The 21,452-nt window shown below is 50.7% G+C and overlaps 1 protein-coding gene, 1 long non-coding RNA gene and 1 pseudogene across 3 annotated transcripts, besides 1 other annotated feature; 2 read left to right on the top strand and 1 right to left on the bottom strand.

Annotated features, from left to right (window-relative positions):
- Positions 2,908–3,322, top strand: TYMSP2 (thymidylate synthetase pseudogene 2; annotated as a pseudogene).
- Positions 3,011–3,512: an enhancer, noted in NCBI's record as "H3K4me1 hESC enhancer chr19:36174493-36174994 (GRCh37/hg19 assembly coordinates)". NCBI's record gives its function as "activates a minimal SCP1, AML or CMV promoter by ChIP-STARR-seq in primed H9 embryonic stem cells {active_cell/tissue: H9 hESC(primed)}" and the evidence as "EXISTENCE:reporter gene assay evidence [ECO:0000049][PMID:30033119]".
- UPK1A (uroplakin 1A) lies at positions 8,622–20,586 on the bottom strand. 2 transcript variants are annotated; one of them, NM_001281443.2, is made up of 9 exons: positions 20,565–20,586; positions 20,207–20,294; positions 18,449–18,649; positions 13,797–13,871; positions 13,558–13,665; positions 11,084–11,263; positions 10,770–10,867; positions 9,208–9,291; positions 8,622–9,128 (listed from the first exon to the last, which is right to left on the bottom strand). In NM_001281443.2, exons 2-8 carry the CDS (start codon positions 20,288–20,290, stop codon positions 9,216–9,218), a joined length of 822 nt encoding a protein of 273 aa, NP_001268372.1. In that variant the 5' UTR covers positions 20,291–20,294; positions 20,565–20,586; the 3' UTR covers positions 8,622–9,128; positions 9,208–9,215. The 2 variants fall into 2 exon arrangements, with proteins under 2 accessions (NP_001268372.1, NP_008931.1); NM_007000.4 differs by lacking the exon at positions 10,770–10,867.
- UPK1A-AS1 (UPK1A antisense RNA 1) lies at positions 13,812–19,155 on the top strand. Its single transcript, NR_046420.1, has 2 exons — positions 13,812–13,868; positions 18,418–19,155. It is a non-coding gene; the product is annotated as a UPK1A antisense RNA 1 (long non-coding RNA).
- Positions 20,587–21,452: the final 866 nt, after the last annotated feature.

Genomic DNA, 21,452 nt, shown 5'->3' with positions numbered 1-21,452 from the left:
AAAGAAAAAAGAACAGGGCCCTATGCTATGAGATAGGGACTGTTACAACTCTCATTTTATAGAGGGGCACATTGAGGCTCAGTGTGGTGGGCCTTTTGAGAAGTCAGTGCTGTCTCTGCTTCTCTCAGAGAATCCCAATCACTATCAACTAAGTCACCATCGACTTGCTGGTGAGGACATCTGACTTTTTTTTTTTGATTAAGAGTCTCGTTCTGTGGCCCAGGCTGGAGTGCAATGGCGCGATCTTGGCTCACTGCAGCCTCTGCCTCCCAGGTTCAAGTGATTCTCCTGCCTCAGCCTCCTGGGTAGCTGGGATTACAGGCGCCCGCCACCACGCCTGGCTAATTTTTGTATTTTTTAGTAGAAATGGGGTTTCACCATGTTGGCCAGGCTGGTCTCAAACTCCTGACCTCAAGTGATCCACCTACCTCAGCCTCCCAAAGTGCTGAGATTACAGGCTTGAGCCACCGCGCCTGGCTGAGGACACCTGACTTTATGAGCAGATGAGGATGGAATCCCCAATTTCCTTGACATGTTTACAAGCTGTTCCAATGTGTGCCCAGGGTGGGGCGAGAAGCTTTCCGGGGCCTGCTGAAAAGCCATTTAGGGAAGTCAGCCTGGAGGGGCTCTTGTTTGGGAAAATCCAGTGTGTATATTCCATGTAAGTGGCGTTTTAAAAATTCTGGTTTGAGGCCAGCTGTAGTGGCTCACACCTGAAATCTCAGCACTTTGGGAGGCCAAGGAGGGCAGACCACCTGTGGTCAGGAGTTTAAGACCAGTCTGGCCAACATGGTGAAACCTCGCCTCTACAAAAATACAAAAATTAGTCGGGCATGACGGCGGGCGCCTGTAATCCCAGCTACTCAGGAGGCTGAGGCGGGAGAATCGCTTGAACCTGGGTGGTGGAGTTTGCAGTGAGCTGAGATCGCTCCATTGCACTCCGGCCTGGGCAACAGAACGAGGCTCCATCTCAAAATAATAAATAAATAAATAAATAAATTAAAAAAATTTAAATTTAAAAATATAAGAATTCTAGTTTGAAAAGTAAAGCCATATACTGTTCAGTATTTTAGAAATCTCTTTATTAATTTTTGTTATTGAAAAGTAATAGGGCTGGGTGTCGTGGCTCACGCCTGTAATCCCAGCACTTTGGGAGGCCGAGGCAGGTGGATCATTTGAGGTCAGGAGTTCAAGACCAGCCTGGCCAACATGGTGAAACCCTGTCTCTACTACAAATACAAAAATTAGCCAGGCTGCAGTGGTATGCGCCTGTAATCCCAGCTACTCAGGAGGCTGAGGCAGGAGAATCACTTGAGCCTTGTGGGACGGAGGTTGCGGTGGTGAGCCGAGAGCGCACCACTGCACTCCAGTCTGGGCCACAGAGTGAGACCCTGTCTCAAAAAAAAAAAAAAAAAAAAAAGAAGAGAAAAGGAAAGAAAAGGAAAAGAAAAGAAAAGAAAAAGTAATAGATGGGGCCAGGTGCGGTGGCTCATGCCTGTAATCCCAGCACTTTGGGAGCCTGAGGTGGAAGGATCGCTTGAGCCCAGGAGTTTAAGACCAGCCTGGGCAACACAGACCTCATGTCTACAAAAAATAAAAAAAAATTTAGCTGGACGTGGTGGCAGATGCCTGTGGTCCCAGTTCCTCATGAGGCTGAGGTAGGAGGACTGCCTGAGCCTGGGAGGTCAAGGCTGCAGTGAGCTGAGATCGTGGCACTGCACCCCAGCCTGGGTGACAGGACATCCTGTCTCAAAAAAACTGAACTAAAATAAAATAAAACAAAGGAGTTCTTAATGGGAAATATGTAGATATAATTTTTATAAAAATGAGACCACTTTAGCACAATGTTTTGCTCCTTGCCTTATTAACTGAACAACAAACAGATCATGATGATCTGTAACACATTTATACTCTGGAATATATTGCAATAGTTCAAAACAAAACAAAACAAAACAAAAAACTGGGCCAGGAGCGGTGGCTCACGCCTGTAATCCCAGCACTTTGGGAAGCCAAAGCGGGTGGATCACCTGAGGTCAGGAGTTCGAGACCAGCCTGGCCAACATGGTGAAACTCCGTCTCTACTAAAAATACAAAAATTAGCTGGGCGTGGTGGCGTGCACCTGTAATCCCAGCTACTCAGGAGGCTGAGGGAGGAGAATCGCTTGAACCTGCGAGGCAGAGGTTGCAGTGAACCAAGATTGTGCCATTGCACTCCAGCCTGGGTGACAAGAGCGAAGCTCCATCTCAAAAAAATAAAAAAGTAAAATGAATTCATATTCACTGAGTTGGAAAGATAACCACAATCCATGATTAGGTGAAGAAACCAAGTTGTAAAGCAGGGATGTCCAATCTTTTTTTTTTTTTTTTTTTTTTTGAGATGGAGTCTCGCTCTGTCACCAAGGCTGGAGTGCAGTGGTGCCATCTTGGCTCACTGCAAGCTCTGCCTCCCTAGTTCATGCCATTCTCCTGCCTCAGCCTCCCGAGTAGCTGGGACTACAGGCGCCCGCCAACACGTTTGGCTAATTTTTTTGTATTTTTAGTAGAGACAGGATTTCACCTTGTTAGCCAGGTTGGTCTCGAACTCCTGACCTCGTGATCCACCCGCCTCGGCCTCCCAAAGGGGATGTCCAATCTTTTGGCTTCCCTGGGCCACATTAGAAGAAGAAGAATTGTCTTCAGCCACACATAAAATACACTAACGATAGTGGATGAGCTAAAACAAATTGCAAAAAATCTCATAGTGTTTTAAGAAAGTTTATGAATTTGGGGCTGGGCGTGGTGGCTCATGCCTGTAATCTCAGCACTTTGGTAGGCCAAGGCGGGCAGATCACAAGGTCAGGAGTTCGAGACCAGCCTGGCCAACATGGTGAAACCCGGTCTCTAACCCTGTCTCCTCACTGCCTCTGTCCTGCCGCGCAGGAGCGGGATGCTGAGCCCTGTCCGCCCCACGGGGAGCTGCAGTACCTAAGGCAGGTGGAGCACATCGTCTGCTGCAGCTGCAGGAAGGACGCCCCCAGGGCACCTGCTCTCTGCCGCCGCTGTTTTCGTTTTCGGCAGGCAGGCAGTCAGTCAGTCCCACTGCAGCCTGAGAAGTGACTTTCCTCTGCTGACAACCACAATGTTTTGGAGGAGTTGCTGTCGTTTATCAAGGGATCCACATATGCTGAAGAACTGTCTTCCAAGAGAGTGAAAATGTGAGATGAGGCAGTGGAGCCCTTTTTGGACAACTTGGGATTCTCCACTGAGAAGAAGGGGACTTGGGCCCAGTTTATGGCTTCCAGTGGAGGCATTTTGGGCAGAATACGAAGATATGGATTCAGATTATTCAGATCAAGGAGACGACCAACCGCAAAAAGTGATTGACATCATCAACAGAAGGCATAATCCCAGCACTCTGGGAGGCCGACGCGGGTGGATCACTTGAGGTCAGGAATTTGAGACCAGCCTGGCCAACACGGCGAAAACTCATCTCTACTAAAAATACAAAAATTAGCCAGGGGCTGGGTGCGGTGGCTAATGCCTGTAATCCCAGCACTTTGGGAGGCCAAGGCGGGTGGATCCCCTGAGGTCAGGAGTTCAAGACCAGCCTGACCAACATGGAGAAAACCTGTCTATACTAAAAATACAAAATTAGCCAGGCATGGTGGTGCATGCCTGTAATCCCAGCTACTCGGGAGGCTGAGGCAGGAGAATCACTTGAACCTGGGAGACAGAGGTTGTGGTGAGCCAAGATCTCGCCATTGCACTCCAGCCTGGGCAACAAGAGCGAAACTCTGTCTCAGAGAAAAAAAAAAAAGCCAGGCATGTCGGGGGGCACCTGTAAATCCCAGCTATTTGGGAGGCTGAGGCAGGAGAATCGCTTGAACCTGGGAGGTGGAGGTTGCAGTGAGCCAAAATCACGCCACTGCACTCCAGCCTGGGTGACAGCGAGACTCTGTCTTAAAAAAAAAAAAAAAAGAAAGAAAGGAAAAGAACAAAACAAACTGACCACAGACAAATCATCATCTGTGCTTGGAATCCAAAAATCTTCCTCTGATGACACTGCCTCCAGCCCTTCCCCGCTGCCAGTTCTGTTTTTTTTTTTTCTTTTTTTTTTTGAGACGGAGTTTCACTCTTGTTGCCCAGGCTGGAGTGTAATGGCTCAATCTCGGCTCACTGCCACCTCCTCCCAGGTTCAAGCGATTCTCCTGCCTCAGTCTCCCAAGTAGCTGGGATTACAGGTGCCCGCCACCACGCCCAGCTAATGTTTGTATTTTTAGTAGAGATGGGGTTTCACCATGTTGGCCAGGCTTGTCTCGAACTCCTGACCTCAGATGATCTGCCCACCTCAGCCTCCCAAAGTGCTGGGATTACAGGCGTGAGCCACTGTGTAGGGCACTTTTAAAGGAGTTTGAAGGGTATTTTCAGTCTTTAGGGGTTGGGCTGGATGCTCAGGTGAAAGTTCTTTTTGCTCTAAAGGAAAAGGGAGCTAGGTCAAAAATCTGTTGTTGACTTATTAGTTATTAACTTTTAAGGATATTAACTTTTAAGGGTGTCACCACAACTGTGCTAGCCCTTTCCGTAATAAAAGGCCTTGAGTTTGGCTAACTCACTGAGGGTGCATGAAAATACGGAGATTATGAGCAAAACTGAGGAGAATGAAATTGGTATGCTCTTAACAAAAACATGCACATGCATTTCAATCCTGTGTCTTTATGAAGAAGGTTGGTGAATTTCAAGAATTCTACAAGCTATTCTCTCAAATTTGAGAGAGTGGACTAACACCATCAATCATAATGTATAGTGTCATTATGAATATTTAAAGTTATATTAAGTTTATATATAATATAAATTTATATATATATATATATATATATATTTGTTTTTGAGATGGAGTCTCACTTTGTCACCCAAGCTGGAGTACAGTGGTATGATCTCAGCTCACTGCGACCTCCCCTCCCAGGTTCCAGCGATTCTTGTGCCTCAGTCTCCTGAGTAGCTGGGATTTCAGGCACCCGCCACCATGCCTGGCTAATTTTTTGTATTTTTAGTAGAGACGGGGTTTCACCATGTTGCCCAGGCTGGTCTTAAACTCCTGACCTCAGGTGATCCACCTGTTTTGGCCTCCCAAAGTGCTGAGATTACAGGTGTGAGCCACCACACCCGGCTTAAAGTTATATTTGTTTTATATATTGCTGTAATAAAGAAGTGTTCTACCAGGCGCAGAACGGTTTTTGTATTTTTATAAAAAATACAGGCCGGGCGCGGTGGCTCACGCCTATAATCCCAGTACTTTGGGAGGCCAAGACGGGCGGATCATGAGGTCAGGAGATCGAGACCATCCTGGCTAACACAGTGAAACCCCGTCTCTACTAAAAATACAAAAAATTATCTGGGTGTGGTGGCGGGCACCTGTAGTCCCAGCTACGTGGGAGGCTGAGGCGGAAGAATGACGTGAACCTGGGAGGCGGAGCTTGCAGTGAGCCAAGATTGCGCCACTGCACTCCAGCCTGGGCGACAGAATGAGACTCCATCTCAAAAAAAAAAAAAAAAAAAAAAAAAAATTAGCGGGGCGTGATGGTGCGTGCCTGTAGTCCCAGCTACTCAGGAGGCTGAGAGGGGAGGATTGCTTGAGCCCAGGAGGCGGAGGTTGCAGTGAGCCGGGATTGTGCCACTGAACTTCAGCCTGGTCAACAGAGCGAGACTCCGTCAACAACAACAACAACAAAAAAGTGTTCTGCAAAACAACAAAGTTTTTCCTCTATTCTTCTAAACATTATTATAAAAACATTAACTCATTTTTTTAAGGAAGAAAAAGACTAAAGCTCCGTTTGATCAACCCTGCAGGAATAAGAGTACTATATGGGCCAGGTGTGATGGCTCACACCTGTAATCCTAGCATTTTGGGAGACTGAGGTGAGTGGATCACCTGAGGTCGGGAGTTCCAGACCAGCCTGGCCAACATGGCGAAGCCTGTCTCCAGTAAAAATACAAAAATTAGCCGGGCATGGTGGCAGGTGCCTATAATCTTAGCTACTCAGAGCCTGAGGCAAGAGAATCGCTTGAACACAGGGGGCAGAGGTTGCAGTGAGCCAAGATCGCACCACTTCACTCTAGCCTGGGCAAAAGAGTGAAACTCCATCTCAAAAAAAAAAAAAGTACTGTATATAGTTTTCAATTTTTCCTACTATGTATTTCTTAGCGCGTTTTCCATGTTAAAGCAGAGTTCTTGTTCTTTTTATTTTTACCTCTTTGTGGTATTGCAGAGGATGGATATAGCGTAGCTAATTTACCCAGTGCCCTGCTGATAGTCATTTATTTTACTAATGAACATCCTCATATGGGCTTTCCAGTTATTATGAGATCTTTTTATAGTCAACTCACATACAGCTATCTCTTTTAAAAAGTATTTATTATTATAATTATATATATATATATTTATTTATTTGAAGCAGGTTCTTGCTCTGTTCCCCAGGCTGGAGTGTGGTGGTGTGGAGCACTGCAGCCTCGACCTCCTGTGCTCAGACAGTCCTTCCATCTCAGCCTCCTAAGAAGCTAGGACCACAGGCACACACTACTACACCCAGATAATTTTTTTAATTTTTTTTTTTTTTGAGACAGAGTCTGGCTCTATCACCCAGGCTGGAGTGCAGTGGTGCGATCTCGGCTCACTGCAACCTCTGCCTCCTGGGCTCAAGCCATCCTTCCATCTCAGCCTCCCCAGTGTCTGGGACCACAGGCACGCATCACCACACCTGGATAATTTTTGCATTTTTTGTAGAGACAGGGTTTTGCCATGTTGCCCAGGCTGGTCTCGAGAGCTCAAGCGGTCCTCCCACCTCAGCCTCCCAAAGTGCTGGGATTACAGGCCTGAGCCACTGCGTCCTGCTTTTTAAAATTTTTTATAGAGACAAGGTCTTGCTATGTTGCCCAGGCTGATCTTAAACTCTGGGGCTCAAGCGATCCTCCCACCTGGACATCCCAAAGTGCTGGGATTACAGACATGAGCCACCGTGCTCAGCCTATTATTATTATTATTTAGAGATGGAATTTTGCTGTGTCGCCCAGGCTGGAGTGCAGTGGCTACTCATAGGTGTGAACATAGCTTACTGCAACCTCGAACTCCAGGGCTCAAGCGGTCCTCCCGCCTAAGCCTTCCCAGTAGCTGGGACCACAGGCGCACACACAACAGCCACAGAGCATTTCAGTCCAAGGGCATAACATGATTTACACAACCCATCCCTTTGGTGATGGTTGTTGGGTAGTTTCCGATTTTTCACTCTAATAAATAATGACCTCTTTATCCATTACATATTTTTAAAAAATGAAATCTGAATTCAGCAATCAAAGACTATCTGCAGACCACTGGAGTAAATGGGAACCCCAAGAAATTATTTGATGGGGAAGGAAGCCCCCAGGCCCTCTTGGGAAGGCCTAGTCGTGGCTTCAGGGAGAACAAAGAGTGATAATTTGGTTCTTTTTTTTTTTTTTAGAGACGGAATCTTGTTCTGTCTCCCAGGCTGGAGTGCAGTGGTGCAATCTTGGCTCACTGCAACCTCCACCTTCCGGGTTCAAGCGATTCTTGTGCTTCAGCCTCCTGAGTAGCTGGGTCTACAGGTGCACACCACCATGCCCAGGTACTTTTTTGTATTTTTAATAGAGATAGGGTTTCGCCATTTTGGCCAGGCTGGTCTCAAGTTCCTGGCCTCAAGTGATCTGCCCACCTCAGCAAGTGCTGGGATTACAGGTGTGAGCCACAGTGCCCAGCCATAATTCAATTCGTAATGGTTTGCTGTCATGGACCCCTTAGAGAACTTGCTGGAAGCTATATCCCTAGGAGAAGGATTTTTATCACCTATAAGCCTCAGCAGCCCTGTATCTGGATTTTCCTTTGATAAACAACTCCCCTTCCAACACCACCACTGCATGCATCCTTAGCAGGATTACCAAGCCAGGTGCCCTCCCTTTCCCAACCTAACGAAGGGCCTAGAACCTAAGCCGAGACAGTGAGATTCAACTCTGGACCTTGGCTACAACTCTGGACCTTGGCTACAGCCCTTGGGAGAGAGGCTCTTTCCTTCTGTTGCATTGCTTAGTTATAAAGACATTAAGTCTGGAGTTGCCAGAGAAATCCTGTCAGGGAATGAAGCAGGTTTCCTGGAAACTTAGATTGAACATCTGGATCCAGACATGCCTGAAGCCAGCCCCGTTGACTCAGTTACGTGAGCTGATAAATTCCATTTTACACTTCAGTCAGTGACAGTTGGGTTTCCACCACTTCCATCAGAATAGTTTTTTTTGTTTTTGGAGACAGGGCCTCGATTTGTTGCCGAGGCTGGAGTACAATGGTGCGATCTCAGCTCACTGCAACCTCCACCTCCCGGGTTCAAGTGATTCTTCTGCCTCAGCCTCCGGAGTGGCTGGGATTACAGATGTGCGCCACCATACCCGGCTGATTTTTGCATTTTTGTAGAGATGGGGGTCTCACCATTTTGGCCAGGCTGGTCTTGAACTCCTGACCTCAGGTGATCTGCCCGCCTCGGCCTCCCAAAGTGCTGGGATTACAGGCGTGAGCCACTGCGCCTGGCCTAGAACAGTTCTTGTTCACTCTCCCGTGACCCAGAAAAAAAAAAACTCATTCATTCATTCATTATTTATTTATTTATTGACTATCTAGTATATGCTTAGCCCCGTGCTGGGTGATGATGGGGACAGTAAAGTGACCGTGACAGAACTCTCATGGCAATAGAGGCTTCCAGAGCTCAAATGGCAATCACAAACGGTTCAGCAAGAATGGCGATGCCTGCCATGAAGGAGGAGGTCAGAGAGCTACAAGAGAGGTATCTGTGAATGGGAGGTGGGATCATGGAGAGGTCCCTTGAAAGATGGGCTAAGGATATGTGCACACAAGCCCTGGGGTTTCAGGGCACACCTGAGACACAGTAGGGCTCAGGAACCTGGAAAAAGATCTTGGAAGTGGAAGGACGTAAGGGCTAGGGACGTTGGGAGGTGAGAGGTGAGGCAGCCATCCAGGCCCAGCGGAGGAAGCAGGAGGAGGATGCGGAGGAGTCCGGGGTGTGTATGTTGCCTTCCCCTCCTGTCCCTCAGAGCATGGTGTAGAAATACATGGCTATCAGCATGACCGGGAGCTGGCGAGGAGGCAGCGAGATGAGGGCACTCCGCCCCCCACCCCCAGCCCACCCAGCCTGTGGGCTCCCCGCCTCTCACCGTCCACATCAGGATGGCAAACCCAAACCACGAGATACCCCACGTGTAGCTGTCGATGGCGTGGCCGATGTGTTCGAAGCAGCCCTGGGCAGGGGGATGGGGGAAGTTTGAGAAGACGCCCATGAGGGTAGCCGCTGAAAGCGAGAGTCACTGTGCGCCCTTGGGAAAGTCACCACCTTCCCTGAGCATTGGTTTTCTCACTTGTGCAATGGGGACCATGGCACTGTCCACCTCCTCGGGTGGTTTCGGGGCCCCAGGGAGCTGATGTTGAACCCAGGCCCTGCACAAGTAGGTGCCGCCCTGCTGATGGCTATGACAATCTGAGGGTGATTTTGATCTTACAGCTGGCTTTTTTTTTTTTTTGGAGACAGTCTCGCAGTCTCCCTCTGTCACCCAGGCTACAGTGCAGTGGCATGATCTCGGCTCACTGAAACCTTTACCTCCCGCGTTCAAGCAATTCTCCTGCCTCAGCCTCCTGAGTAGCTGGGATTACAGGTGTGCACCACTACGCCCGGCTAATTTTTGTATTTTTAGTAGAGACGGGGTTTCACCATGTTGGTCAGGCTGGTCTCGAACTCCTGATCTTGTGATCCTCCCATCTCGGTCTCCCAAAGTGCTGGGATTACAGGCATGAGCCACTGTGCGCGCCCGGCCTTTTTTTTTTTAAAGTCTCTTGCCTTTTTTAAGTCTCTTGCCTAGGCTAGAGTGCAGTGGCACCATCACAGCTCTCTGCAGCCTTGACCTCCTAGACTCAAACAATCCTCCTGCCTTAGCCTCCCCAGTAGCTGGGATTACAGGCGCGCACCACCACGCCTGGCTAATTTTCTGTACTTTTTTGTAGAGACGGGGTCTTGATATGTTGCCCAGGCTGGTCTTGAGCTTCTGACCTCAAGTGATGCTCCTGCCTTGGCCTCCCAAAGTACTGGGATTACAGTCGTGAGCCCCCGTGCCTAGCTCTATTGTTTTGTTTGATGTTTTGTTTTGTTTTTTTTTGTTTGAGATGGAGTTTCACTCTGTCGCCCAGGCTGGGGTGCAGTGGCACAATCTCGGCTCACTGCAACCTTCACCTCCAGAGTTCAAGTGATTCTCCTACCTCAGCCTCCCGAGTAGCTGGGATTACAGGCACGTGCTACTGCTCTGGGCTAATTTTTGCATTTTTAGTAGAGATGGGGTTTCGCCATGTTGGTCAGGCTGGTCTCGAACTCTTGACCTCAAGTGATCTGCCCTCCTCAGCCTCCCAAAGTGCTGAGATTACAGGCATGAGCCATCGCGCCCGGCCCTATTATTGCTCTTATTCTCGGACAACCTGAGTAAAGTTGTAGGTGCCAGGTCTGGTTCAGACAGACCCTGGGTGCATCCTGCTGACTTGAGAGAGAGTTGGGGGAGCACTAGAAAATCAGAGAGGGGACCCAGCGTGGTGGCTCACGCCTGTAATCTGAGCACTTTGGGAGGCTGAGGTGGGTGGATCACTTGAGCTCAGGAGTTCGAGACCAGCCTGGACAACATGGTCAAACCCCGTCTCTGCTAAAAATACAAAAACTAGCCAAGAGGGTGGTGCGCACCTGTAATCCCAGCTGCTCTGGAAGCTGAGGTGGGAGAATCCCTTGAACCCGGGAGGCAGACGCTGCAGTGAGCTGAGATTGTGCCACTGTACTCCAGCCTGGGTGACAGAGCAGGACTCGGTCTTGAAAAAAAAAAAAGAAAGAAAGAAAGAAAGAAAGAAAAAGAAAACAAGAAAATCAGAGAGGGGAAGAGGAGAGGGAAAAAGCTAGACGGACAGACACAGGGAGGGAGAAAGAGAGAATCAGAGAGGGAGCAGAGACCAGAGGAAGACAGACAGATGGATAGACAGATGGAGCAGGGCAGACGGCCACACCTTGGTGAACAGGTAGTCCATGTGCCCCAGGCGGCAGCCCTCCTCGTTGAGGGGGATGAAGTTTCCCGTCCGGCGACAGCACAGTGGGGGCCAGGGGAACACCACCTCCGGAGTGGCCGCCCGGAAGGCTGACGTGAAGTTCACCCAGTCCATGGGACCAGATGTGCCACAGCATTCTTGCTAGAGTGAAAAGCAGGGGGTCAGGCAGGCTCGGGCTCAGAGAGGACAGTTGCTTGCCTGAGGTCACACAGCAAGGAGGGGCAGGATTGGCCTTTGACACAGCTGGGCCCAACTTCCCCATGTCCTGGGCCTCCAAGCGAGTGTGTCCGGTGGGTGTCTGTGTGTGTGAGCACGGTGCAGACAATATTTGTCCCAGGACCAGGAGGCTGATGGGGGATTTGGATTAAACCTGCACCTCTGACTTATTTTAAAATATTTTTGCCGGGCACGGTGTCTCACGCCTGTAATCCCAGCTCTCTGGGAGGCCGAGGTGGATGGATCACCTGAGGTCAGGAGTTCGAGACCAGCCTGACCAACATGATGAAACCCCGTCTCTACTAAAAATACAAAATTTGCCGGGTGTGGTGGTGGGCGCCTGTAATCCCAGCTACTTGAGAGGCTGGGGCAGGAGAATTGCTTGAATCCGGGAGGTGGCGACTGCAGTGAGCCAAGATCGTGCCACTGCACTCCAGCCTGGGAATCAAGAATGAAACTCCATCTCAAAAAATAAAATAAAATAAAATATTTTTATCAACAACTATGCTGATAAAATAACACAAAAAGGGCAGATTTCTGGCTTTTCCTGGCCTTGGTAAGGAATCCAGGTGTTTAATTTGTGGCTCCTGAATGAGGAAAACATAGGCTTGGGCACCCTTCAAACATGGGTTCAAATCCTGGCTAGCTAGAGGACTTGGGCCACATTGACGCCTCAGTTTTCCTTGAGTCCTCAATTTCTTCTTCTTTTTTTTTTTTTTTTTTGAGACGGAGTCTCCCTCTGTTGTCCAGGCTGGAGTACAGTGGCGCCATCTTGGCTCACTGCAACCTCCCCCTCCTGGGTTCAAGTGATTCTCCTGCCTCAGCCTCCCAAGTAGCTGGAATCACAGGCGCACACTACTACACCTGACTAATTTTTGTATTTTTTGTAGAGACAGGGTTTCACCATGTTGGCCAGGATGGTCTTGAACCCCTGAACTCAAGTGATCTGCCCGCCTTTGCCTCCCAAAGTGTTGGGATTATAGGTTTGAGCCACTGCACCCAGCCAATTTCTTCCTTTTCCAGTGCAATATCATGTTGGATTTGAGGAAGACTGTATCTCTTCAAACCTGGAAGTCTGAGTTTGAATCCTTCCAGTTCTGTGACCTACCAGGTGTGTGACCTCATGCAAGATATTCAACCTCTTGCTTTGGTCTCCTCATCACTAAAAGGCCGATCTCCCTTATGGAGTGGTCGTGAGGATTAAAAAAGCTTTAAAAGTGCTTTGAAAGGCTGGGCACGGTGGCTCAAGCCTGTAATCCCAGCACTTTGGGAGGCCGAGGCAGGTGGATCACAAGGTCAGGAGATCAAGACCATCCTGGCTAACACCCATCTCTACTAAAAATACAAAAAATCAGCTGGGCGCGGTGGCAGGCGCCTGTAGTCCCAGCTATTCGGGAGGCTGAGGCAGGAGAATAGCGTGAACCCGGGAGGCGGAGCTTGCAGTGAGCCGAGATCGCGCCACTGCATTCCAGCCTGGGCGACAGAGCAAGACTCTGTCTCAAAAAAAAAAAAAAAAAAAAAAAGATAAAAAGAAAAAAAAAAATGTGCTTTGAGGCCAGGCACTCGTGGCTCATGCCTGTGATCTCGGCACTTTGAGAGGCGGAGGTGGGAGAATCGCTCCAATCCTGAGCCCAGGAGTTCCAGACCAGCCTGGGCAATAGAGCAAGACCCCCATCTCCACAAAAGATAATTTAAAAAACTTAGCCGGGTGTGGTGGGGCGCACCTGTATTCCCAGCTACTCGGGAAGCTGAGGCGGGAGGATCACTTGAGCCCAGGAGTTGGAGGTTGCAGTGAGCTATGATCACTCCAGCCTGGGCAACAGAGCAAGACCCCATCTCAAAATATAAAAATAAAAGTCCTTTGAACAGTGTGAAACCTAGCTCAGTGAATGGTGCTGTTACTATCATTGTTATTATCAACATTTCTGTTGAGGTAGTATGTGTAGGCTAAGAGCAGGGAGGTCAGGAGCTAGGCTGCCGGGTTCCAATCCCAGCTCCCACCACTTACCGACTGTGTGGCCTCGGGCAAGGGACTTTCCCTTTCTGGGCCTGTTTACTCATCCGCAGAACGGTGATGACCGCAGCCCTGCTCTCCTAGAGATCTCATGAGCGGATGTCTTTAAGGCACTCACTCCTCTAAAAGCTGGCACATCGGGAGCTCTATCGGCCTCTGTGGACGGAGCCCAGGGCCCTCCCAGCACCCGGTCCACCCCGCCCACCTCAATCATGACGCGGTCCCAGAGGCGGGTCAGCTCCTGGCCCTGGTCGGTGTCCGCGCTGTAGAAGGTCAGCATCTGCTTGGTGATCAGGGATGGGTTGGACACCATCTGAGGAGAACAGGGAAGAACAAGGGCCGGCAGGGCTGGGTGGGGAGAGAGGACGACCTCCGCCCCGCCGCGCCGGGACCCTCGCCCCTCCCATGCAGGTCAGGCCCCTCCCCAGGCCTCGCCGGGCTCACGTAGTCACGGTGGGTGTAGGACGTGATGCAGGAGGCGCACTCGAAGATGTAGACGATGAGCATGAGCACCAGGTACTGGGGAGACAGAGGGAGGACGGCCCGTCGGGCAGAGCCCGTGAAGCCACACCCCGTCAGGGAAGCATCACTGGGGAAATGCAAGTTTTAAAAAAGTTTGGGGCAGTGTGACTAGCAGCATCTATAATATGTGGTGGGTGTTCAGGTGTTCGCTGTATTGTCTTCCAACTTTTCTGTATTTTGAAATATTTAATTTAATTAATTTATTTTTGAGACAGGCGAGGCGTGGTGGCTCACGCCTATAATCCCAGCACTTTGGGAGGCCGAGGGGGCGATCACCTGAGTCAGGAGTTCGAGACCAGCCTGGCCAACATGGTGAAACCCCTTCTCTACTAAAAATACAAAAATTAGGGCTGGGCATTGGTGGCTCACACCTGTAATCCCAGCACTTTGGGAGGCTGAGATGGGAAGATTGCTTGAACCCTGGAGTTCAAGATCAGCCTGGGCAACACAGTGAGACCCCGTCGCTACAAAAAATAAAAATAAAAAAATTAGTTAAGCATAGTTACTACTAGTGGTAGTGTTAGTCCTAGCTATTTGGGAGGCTGAGGTTGGAGGATCGTTTGAGCCCAGTAGTTGGAGGCCTCAGCGAGCTATGATCGCACCACTGCATTCCTGCCTGGGCAACAGAGCAAAACCCTGTCTCTTAAAACAAAACAAACAAGGGTGGGTGCAGTGGCTTACGCCTGTAATCCCAACACTTTGGGAGGTTGAGACGGGTGGATCACCTGAGGTCAGGAGTTCAAGACCAGCCTGACCAATATGGTGAAACCCCATCTACTAAAAATGCAAAAATACAAAAATTAGCTGGGCATGGTGATGGGTGCCTGTAATCCCAGCTACTCAGGAGGATGAGATAGGAGAATAGCTTGAACCCAGGAGGCAGAGGTTGCAATGAGCCGAGATTGTGCCATTACACTCCAGCCTGGGCAACAGAGTGAGACCCTGTCTCTTAAAATAAAACAAACAACATAAAACGATGTTCTCAGATAATCAGAGACATTTGACACAGACTGGGTATTGGAAGATATAGAAGAACTTGATTGAATTTGGTGGGTTGTGCCAACGGCACAGAGGGCAGGAGAAAAAAAAAAGCTTGTCAGTTGATGTTTAATGCAAATTCTTTTCATGTCCTCACCTGGCACCTTCATCTATAAAGCAGCAGGAGGTTGCGTGTGGATGTGTGAACTCTGCTGCTGGGAGATGGATGACATTGCACAACCTCCTGACTGCTTTAAAACAATGTGCTTATCACTCAGAGAAATGTGTGCTCCAGTATTTACAGGCAAGTGACTTGGCATCTAGAATGTGCTTCAAAATACCCAGAAGAAAAAGTATGAGAGAAGGGGGATAGAGGAGACAATGTCGGGCAGTCTGCAGCTGATGTTGTTGAAATCAGGTGAGAGGTATGCAGGGCTCAAATACTGCGGACTCTAGTCTACTTTAGAAATTTCCTGTAAGAAATTTGGGGGCCGGGCACGGTGGCTCATGCCTGTAATCTCAGCACTTTGGGAAGCCGAGGTGGGCGGATCACGAGGTCAGGAGATCGAGACCATCCTGGCTAACACGGCGAAACCCCATCTCTACTAAAAATACAAAAAAAAAAATTAACCAGGCGTGGTGGCAGGTGCCTGTAGTCCCAGCTACTCGGGAGGCTGAGGCAGGAGAATGGCGTGAACCCGGGAGGCGGAGCTTGCAGTGAGCCGAGATCGCACCACTGCACTCCAGCCTGGGCAACTGAGCAAGACTCCGTCTCAAAAAAAAAAAAAAAAAGAAATTTGGGGAGAAAATGTCTTAGTTAATGACAAACTAATGGGGAAACAGACACAATTTTTTTTTTTTTTTGAGACAGAGTCTTGCTCTGTCGCCCAGGCTGGAGTGCAGTGGCGCGATCTCTGCTCACTGCAAGCTGCGCCTCCCGGGTTCACGCCATTCTCCTGCCTCAGCCTCCCGAGTAGCTGGGACTACAGGCGCCCGCCACCACGCCTGGTTAATTTTTTGTTTTTTAGTAAAGACGGGATTTCACCGTGTTAGCCAGGAAGGTCTCGATCTCCTGACCTTGTGATCCACCTGCCTCGGCCTCCCAAACTGCTGGGATTACAGGCGTGAGCCACCGAGCCCGGCCCAGACACAATTTTTAAAACTAGTTGGGTGACTTTTTAGGGCTTTGGTTAAATTGTTATGCCAGATAATTAAATACAGGATAAGAAAATAAGAGGGCAGGTGTGGTGGCTCATGCCTGTAATTCCAACACTTTGGGAGGCTGAGGTGGGAGGCTCACTTGAGGCCAGGAGTTGGAGACCAGCCTGGGCACCATAGTGAGACTCCATCTCTACAAAAAATACAAAAATTAGCTGCACATGGTGATGCACACTTGTAGTCCCAGCTCATTGGGAGGCTGAGGTGGGAGGATCATTTGAGATGAAGAGTTCGAGGTGGCAATGAGCTATGATTGTGCCACTGCACTCCAAACTGGGCAACAGAGTGAGACCCTGTCTAGAGAAACAAAGAAAGGAAGGAAGGAAGGAAGGGAGGGAGGGAGGGAGGGAGGGAGGGAAAGAAGGAAGGGAAGGAAGTCCATGGCTCCATCGTACCCAGGATAAAGCCAAAGTCCACAATACCTGCCTGTCTAGAAAAATGAAGGAAGGAAGGAGGGAGGTGGGGAGGGGAGAGGAGGGGAGGGGAGGGGAAAGGAGGGGAGGGGAGGGGAGAGGAGGCGAGGGGAGGGGAGGGGAGGGGAGGAGTCCATGGCTCCATCTTACTCAGGATAAAGCCAAAGTCCACAACACCTGCCTGTGTAGAAAAACGAAGGAAGGAAGGAAGGAGAGGGGAGGGGAGGGAAGGGGAGGGGAAGGGAGGGGAGGGGAGCAGGGGGTCTATGGGTCCATCTTACTCAGGATAAAGCCAAAGTCCACAACACCTGCCTTCCCTCCTGCTTCTTTCCCATCCCCATTCCTCACTGTTCTCCTCCCCATCTGTCTGCCTCATGTCCTCTCACCCCCCAACCTCCTCCTCACTCAGCTCCAGCTGCTTTGGACTCCTGGCCCGCTCTGGCCTCAGAGCCTTTGCCCTTGCTGCCACCTCCACCTGGAAGGCTCTTCCTCCAGTTACACACCTGCCTCGCTCCCAGTGCCTCTAGGTCTTTGCTTTCCCTGGCAGTGAGGTCTTCCCTCGCCCTCCTCGGCTCCTGACCTCCCCTCCTGTTCACTGTCTTCCTCCTCTGAGCACCACTTCCCTGGGTCAAGGGCTTTTATGTTTCGCTCAGCACAGAGCCCCAGTGCCCAGCGTAGGGCTCAGCATGTAGCTCCTGCTCATAAGCATTTGTTCATCAAATGAGTGGCTGCTTCTGGGAATCTGAAAAACCCTCTGCTGTCGAGGAAACACAGTGCTGTCTCTGTGTCATTGGGGCCGTGAATTGGAATCCCTGCTCTCCTGGTCACCTGGGAGAGGCTGTTAGCCTCTTTGAGCCTCAGTTTCCTCATCTGGTAAATGGGTTGAAAAGCACTAGCTGTGAAGGGCTTCTGGCAAGATTGAGGAAGCTCATTTTCTTTCCTTTTTTTTGAGATGGAGTCTCGCTTTGTCATCCAGGCTGGAATGCAGTGGTGTGATCTTGGCTCACTGCAACCTCTGCCTCCCGGGTTCTAGTGATTCTTCCGCCCCAGCCTCCTGAGTAGCGGGGATTACAGGTGCCTGCCACCATGCGTGGCTAATTTTTTTTTTTTTTTTTTTTTTAGAGATGGGATTTCGCCATGTTGGCCAGTCTGGTCTTGGACTCCCGACCTCAAATGATCTGTCCGCCTCAGCCTCCCCACGTGCTGGGATTACAGGCATGAGCCACTGCGCCTGGCCACGAAGCTCATTTTCTAAACTGCTTACCCTAGTGTCAGGTGCATGAGAGACACTTGGGAAGTATGGGTTATTCTTGTGGGCAGAGATTAAGAGCACAGCCTCAAGAGCCGATCTGCTCAGGTTGAAACTGGCTCTGCCATTGTCTCAATGTGTGACCCTGGATAAGTGACTTCACTTCTCTGAGCCTCAGTTTCAATCTTCATCAAACAGGGTCATGATGATGACAGTATCTCTTGGTGGACTATGAGGAATAAATGAACTAATCCAGTAAACCATTTAGAACAGCTCGTGGCTTGTAGTAAACCATTATTAAATGGTAGCTGTGCTATTATTGGCAGAGTTCATGAGCATGGACTCTGGAAAGCAGCTAGCAGGGGTTCAAATTCTAGCCCTGCACTGGGTGCAGGTAGAGGGGCTCAAGCCTGTAATCCCAGCACTTTGGGAGGCTGAGGCAGGAGAATCATTTGAGCCAGGAGTTTGAGACCAGCCTGGGCAACATAGTGAGACCCCCATCTTTACCAAAAAAAAAAAAAAGAAAAAATCCCAGCTCTGCTACTCAAGCCTGGGTTATTGGGCTGTGGGAAGACTGAATGAGATGATGCCTGGGATCCCTGAGTGTGACACCATGGGGAACTCACACTAGTGGCTGGGGCTGCACCTGCTACTATGACTCAGTGATGCTGAACTCCGTTTTCAGTGTCCCCATCCCCCAACCCCTGGAGTCTCACCGTGAGGACCATGGACCGGCGGCGGCAGAGTGCGGCACCCACACCAAAACTGGCTACCATGAAGAAGGAGAAGCCGCAGAAGATGGCAATCCAGGCACCAGCGAAGACGTCATCCTTGCCTGAGACTCCCATCAGTGGGTATACACGGTACTGGTCGGCTGTCACCCATATGGTCTCAGCAAACAGGGACAGGCCTGACAGCTGGACAGAGCGGTGGGTTAGGAAGGTCTGCTCGGGGCCAGCAGCCCTGGCACCAGGCATCTCCACGAGCAAGTTCCCTCCCCATTTGGAGCCTCCACTGCCCTCTCAGTAAAGTGGGCAAAGACCTCGCCTTCCATGAGCAGCGATGAGGGTGAGCAGAGGCCAGGAGAGAAGAGACAGCCCAGCCAGACAACCGACCCCCACGCCCCAGCTGCCAGTTTCTTCGGGGATAAAAGGGGATGCCACGTGGAAAGGCTGGAGCAGTGGACTGGCACAGAGGAGATGCTTGGTCCATCTGCCCTCCCTTGACAGTGCTGTTATTCCCCGAGGAGGGGAACATGGCCATGGCCATAAACATTACAAATGGGCCAGGCAAGGTGGCTCACACCTGCAGTCCCAGCATTGTGGGAGGCCGAGGCGGGAGGATTGCTTGAGCCCAGGAGTTTGAGACTAGCCTGGGCAATAGTGAGACCCCGTCTCTACAAAAAATAAAAAAATTAGCTAGATGTGGTGATGTGCACCTGTAGTCCCAGCTACTTGGGAGGCTGAGGCAGGAGGATCAGTTGAGCCCAGGAGTTGGAGGCTGCAGTGAGCAAGCATCACACCACTGCACTGCAGCCTGGTCAACAGAGTGAGACCCTGTCTCTAAAACAAACACACGGCCAGTCGCGGTGGCTTACACCTGTAATCCCAACACTTTGGGAGGCTGAGGTGGGCAGATCACCTCAGGTCAGGAGTTCAAGACCAGCCTGGCCAACATGGTGAAACCCCATCTCTTCTAAAAATACAAAAAGTAGCCGGGTGTGGTAGCATGTGCCTGTAATCCCAGCTGCTCGGGAAGCTGAGGCAGGAGAATTGCTGGAGCCCAGGAGGTGGAGGATGCAGTGAGCCGAGATCTCGCCACTGCACTTCAGCCTGGGTGACAAAGGGAGAATCTGTCTGAAAAAAAAAAAATTAGCCGGGCGTGGTGGTGTGCGCCTGTAATCCCAGCTATTCTGGAGGCTGAGGCAGGAGAATCACTTGAGCCCGGGAGTTAGAGGTTGCAGTTAGCTGAGATCAGCCACTGCACTCCAGCCTGGGCAACAGAGTGAGACTCCGTCTCAAAAACAAAACAAAACAAAACAAAACAAAACAAAACAAAACAAAAAACACAAAACCAAAACCCAATGTTAATTGAAAGACACTGTTGTTTTTCCTTCTTGTGGCCTCCTGTGCACCAGGCTGTCACTTTATATCCATAGTGATGCTGATGGTGATAGCCAGCATTGGTCGGGCACTTTCTCTGAGCTGAGGGCCACACATGGATTAATCCACATGACAACAGCCCACACAATGAGGACACAGTCTATAGATGAGGAAAGAAGGCACAGAGAGGGACAGTCGCTTGCTAAGGTCACAGAGCTGGGGAGAGGCAGAGCTGGGATTTCAACCCAGGCTGTGCTGACCACTGAGTCTGCCCGAGAGACAGTTCTGGACCCTCATCCCCCACCCCGAGCTCAGGACTGTCCCCTCCCCACCACACAACCACTCGGCTCCCAGCACTGGGGCGAGTCTCACCAGAATAATGATATTGCCCACAACTAGCAGGCCCACCACAACTGGAGATCCCTTCTCGGCCTCCGCTGCTGCCGCAGACGCCATCATCCTGGGACACATGAGCAGGGATGAGGCCAGGAGCGTAAAGGGCCAGCCGGACCCCCCATCTCTGAGCCACACCCTGGCTTCGAGGGGTTGCTCCAGCTCTCTGCGGGGCCCAGGCTGGTACTGATGTACCCACAGCCCTGGTGGGGAGGCATTTTGCACAAGAGGACACCCGGGCTCCGGTGGGGCAGTCACTGGCCTGAACTTGGCACTGCCCCTCCCTGAGCCTCAGACCCCTCATGCCATACCCAGACTCCCAGGGCCCCCTCCTCACCTTCTCTGTCTGCAGCCTCTCTGGCCAGCCCCACCCACCGTGGCTCCCTATATACGCCCAGGCCCCTCCTTGGGCTAGTCTCCCAGGAAGGAGGGAGGGTGTGTGTGTGTGTGTGTGTGTTTTGGGGCACGGCAGTGGGGTGGACAAGAGGCTGAGCCGGCAGACCAGGCTGGATGAACAGCTTTGATGGGCTCCCTGCCACCCCCATGATTTATAGACCTGAAATACCAGATTGTGTAGGACCCATGGCCTCTGGGTCCCAGGCTTTGTTGGCGGTGGAGGAGTTGGAGGTGGAGGGGCGTGCGCACCACCTGGTGTCTCTCTTGCTAGGACATGGGCCTTCCTGGGAATAGGAGCAAGATCCAAATCAGGGCGGGGCGTGGTAGCTCAGGCCTGTAATCCCAGCACTTTGGGAAACTGAGGTAGGCGGATCGCTTGAGCTCAGTAGTTTGAGACCAGACTGGGTGACATAGTGAAACCCCGTTTCTATAAAAAATACAAAAATAATTAGCCAGGCTCATGCCTGTGGTCCCAGCTACTTGGGAGGCTGAGGTGGGAGGATGGCTGAACCTGGGGACAGAGGTTGCAGTGAGCCAAGATCGTGCCATTGCACTCCAGCTTGAGTGACAGAGCCAGGCCCTGTCTCCAAAACCAAACAAACAAAAAATCCACTTCGGACCCACAGGTGGGTCCTGAATCCCAGAAGTGTCTCTCCTGCTGTGTGACCTTGCACAGGTGGCTGCTCCTCTGTGAGGCCGGGAGCCCGTGGGGAGGCCCAGGCAGGGACCCCTGCCAAGGCCAGGGCTGGACCGAGGCAGAGCAGTGGGGAGATGAGGGGACAGGTGGAAGGGGCGCTTAGGAGGCTGACTACATGGGCGGTGGGCTGAG

This window comes from Homo sapiens, chromosome 19, assembly GCF_000001405.40.
Source record: "Homo sapiens chromosome 19, GRCh38.p14 Primary Assembly".
NCBI classification, from domain to species: domain Eukaryota; kingdom Metazoa; phylum Chordata; class Mammalia; order Primates; family Hominidae; genus Homo; species Homo sapiens.
Note: the sequence above shows the minus strand (reverse complement) of the source record. Positions and strands in the feature narration are given on the sequence as shown.

Excerpts from the sequence above, each read along its gene's own strand:
- UPK1A (NM_001281443.2), bottom strand. The coding sequence starts at position 20,290 with ATGGCGTCTGCGGCAGCAGCGGAGGCCGAGAAGGGATCTCCAGTTGTG. Across the intron at positions 13,872-18,448 it reads GCCGGTCCATGGTCCTCACG|TACCTGGTGCTCATGCTCAT; the intron begins GTGAGACTCCAG and ends CTGTCTCCCCAG. Across the intron at positions 9,292-10,769 it reads CAGAGCAGCTGGGATTACAG|GGCTGCTTCGAACACATCGG; the intron begins GTGCGCACCACC and ends CCCCCTGCCCAG.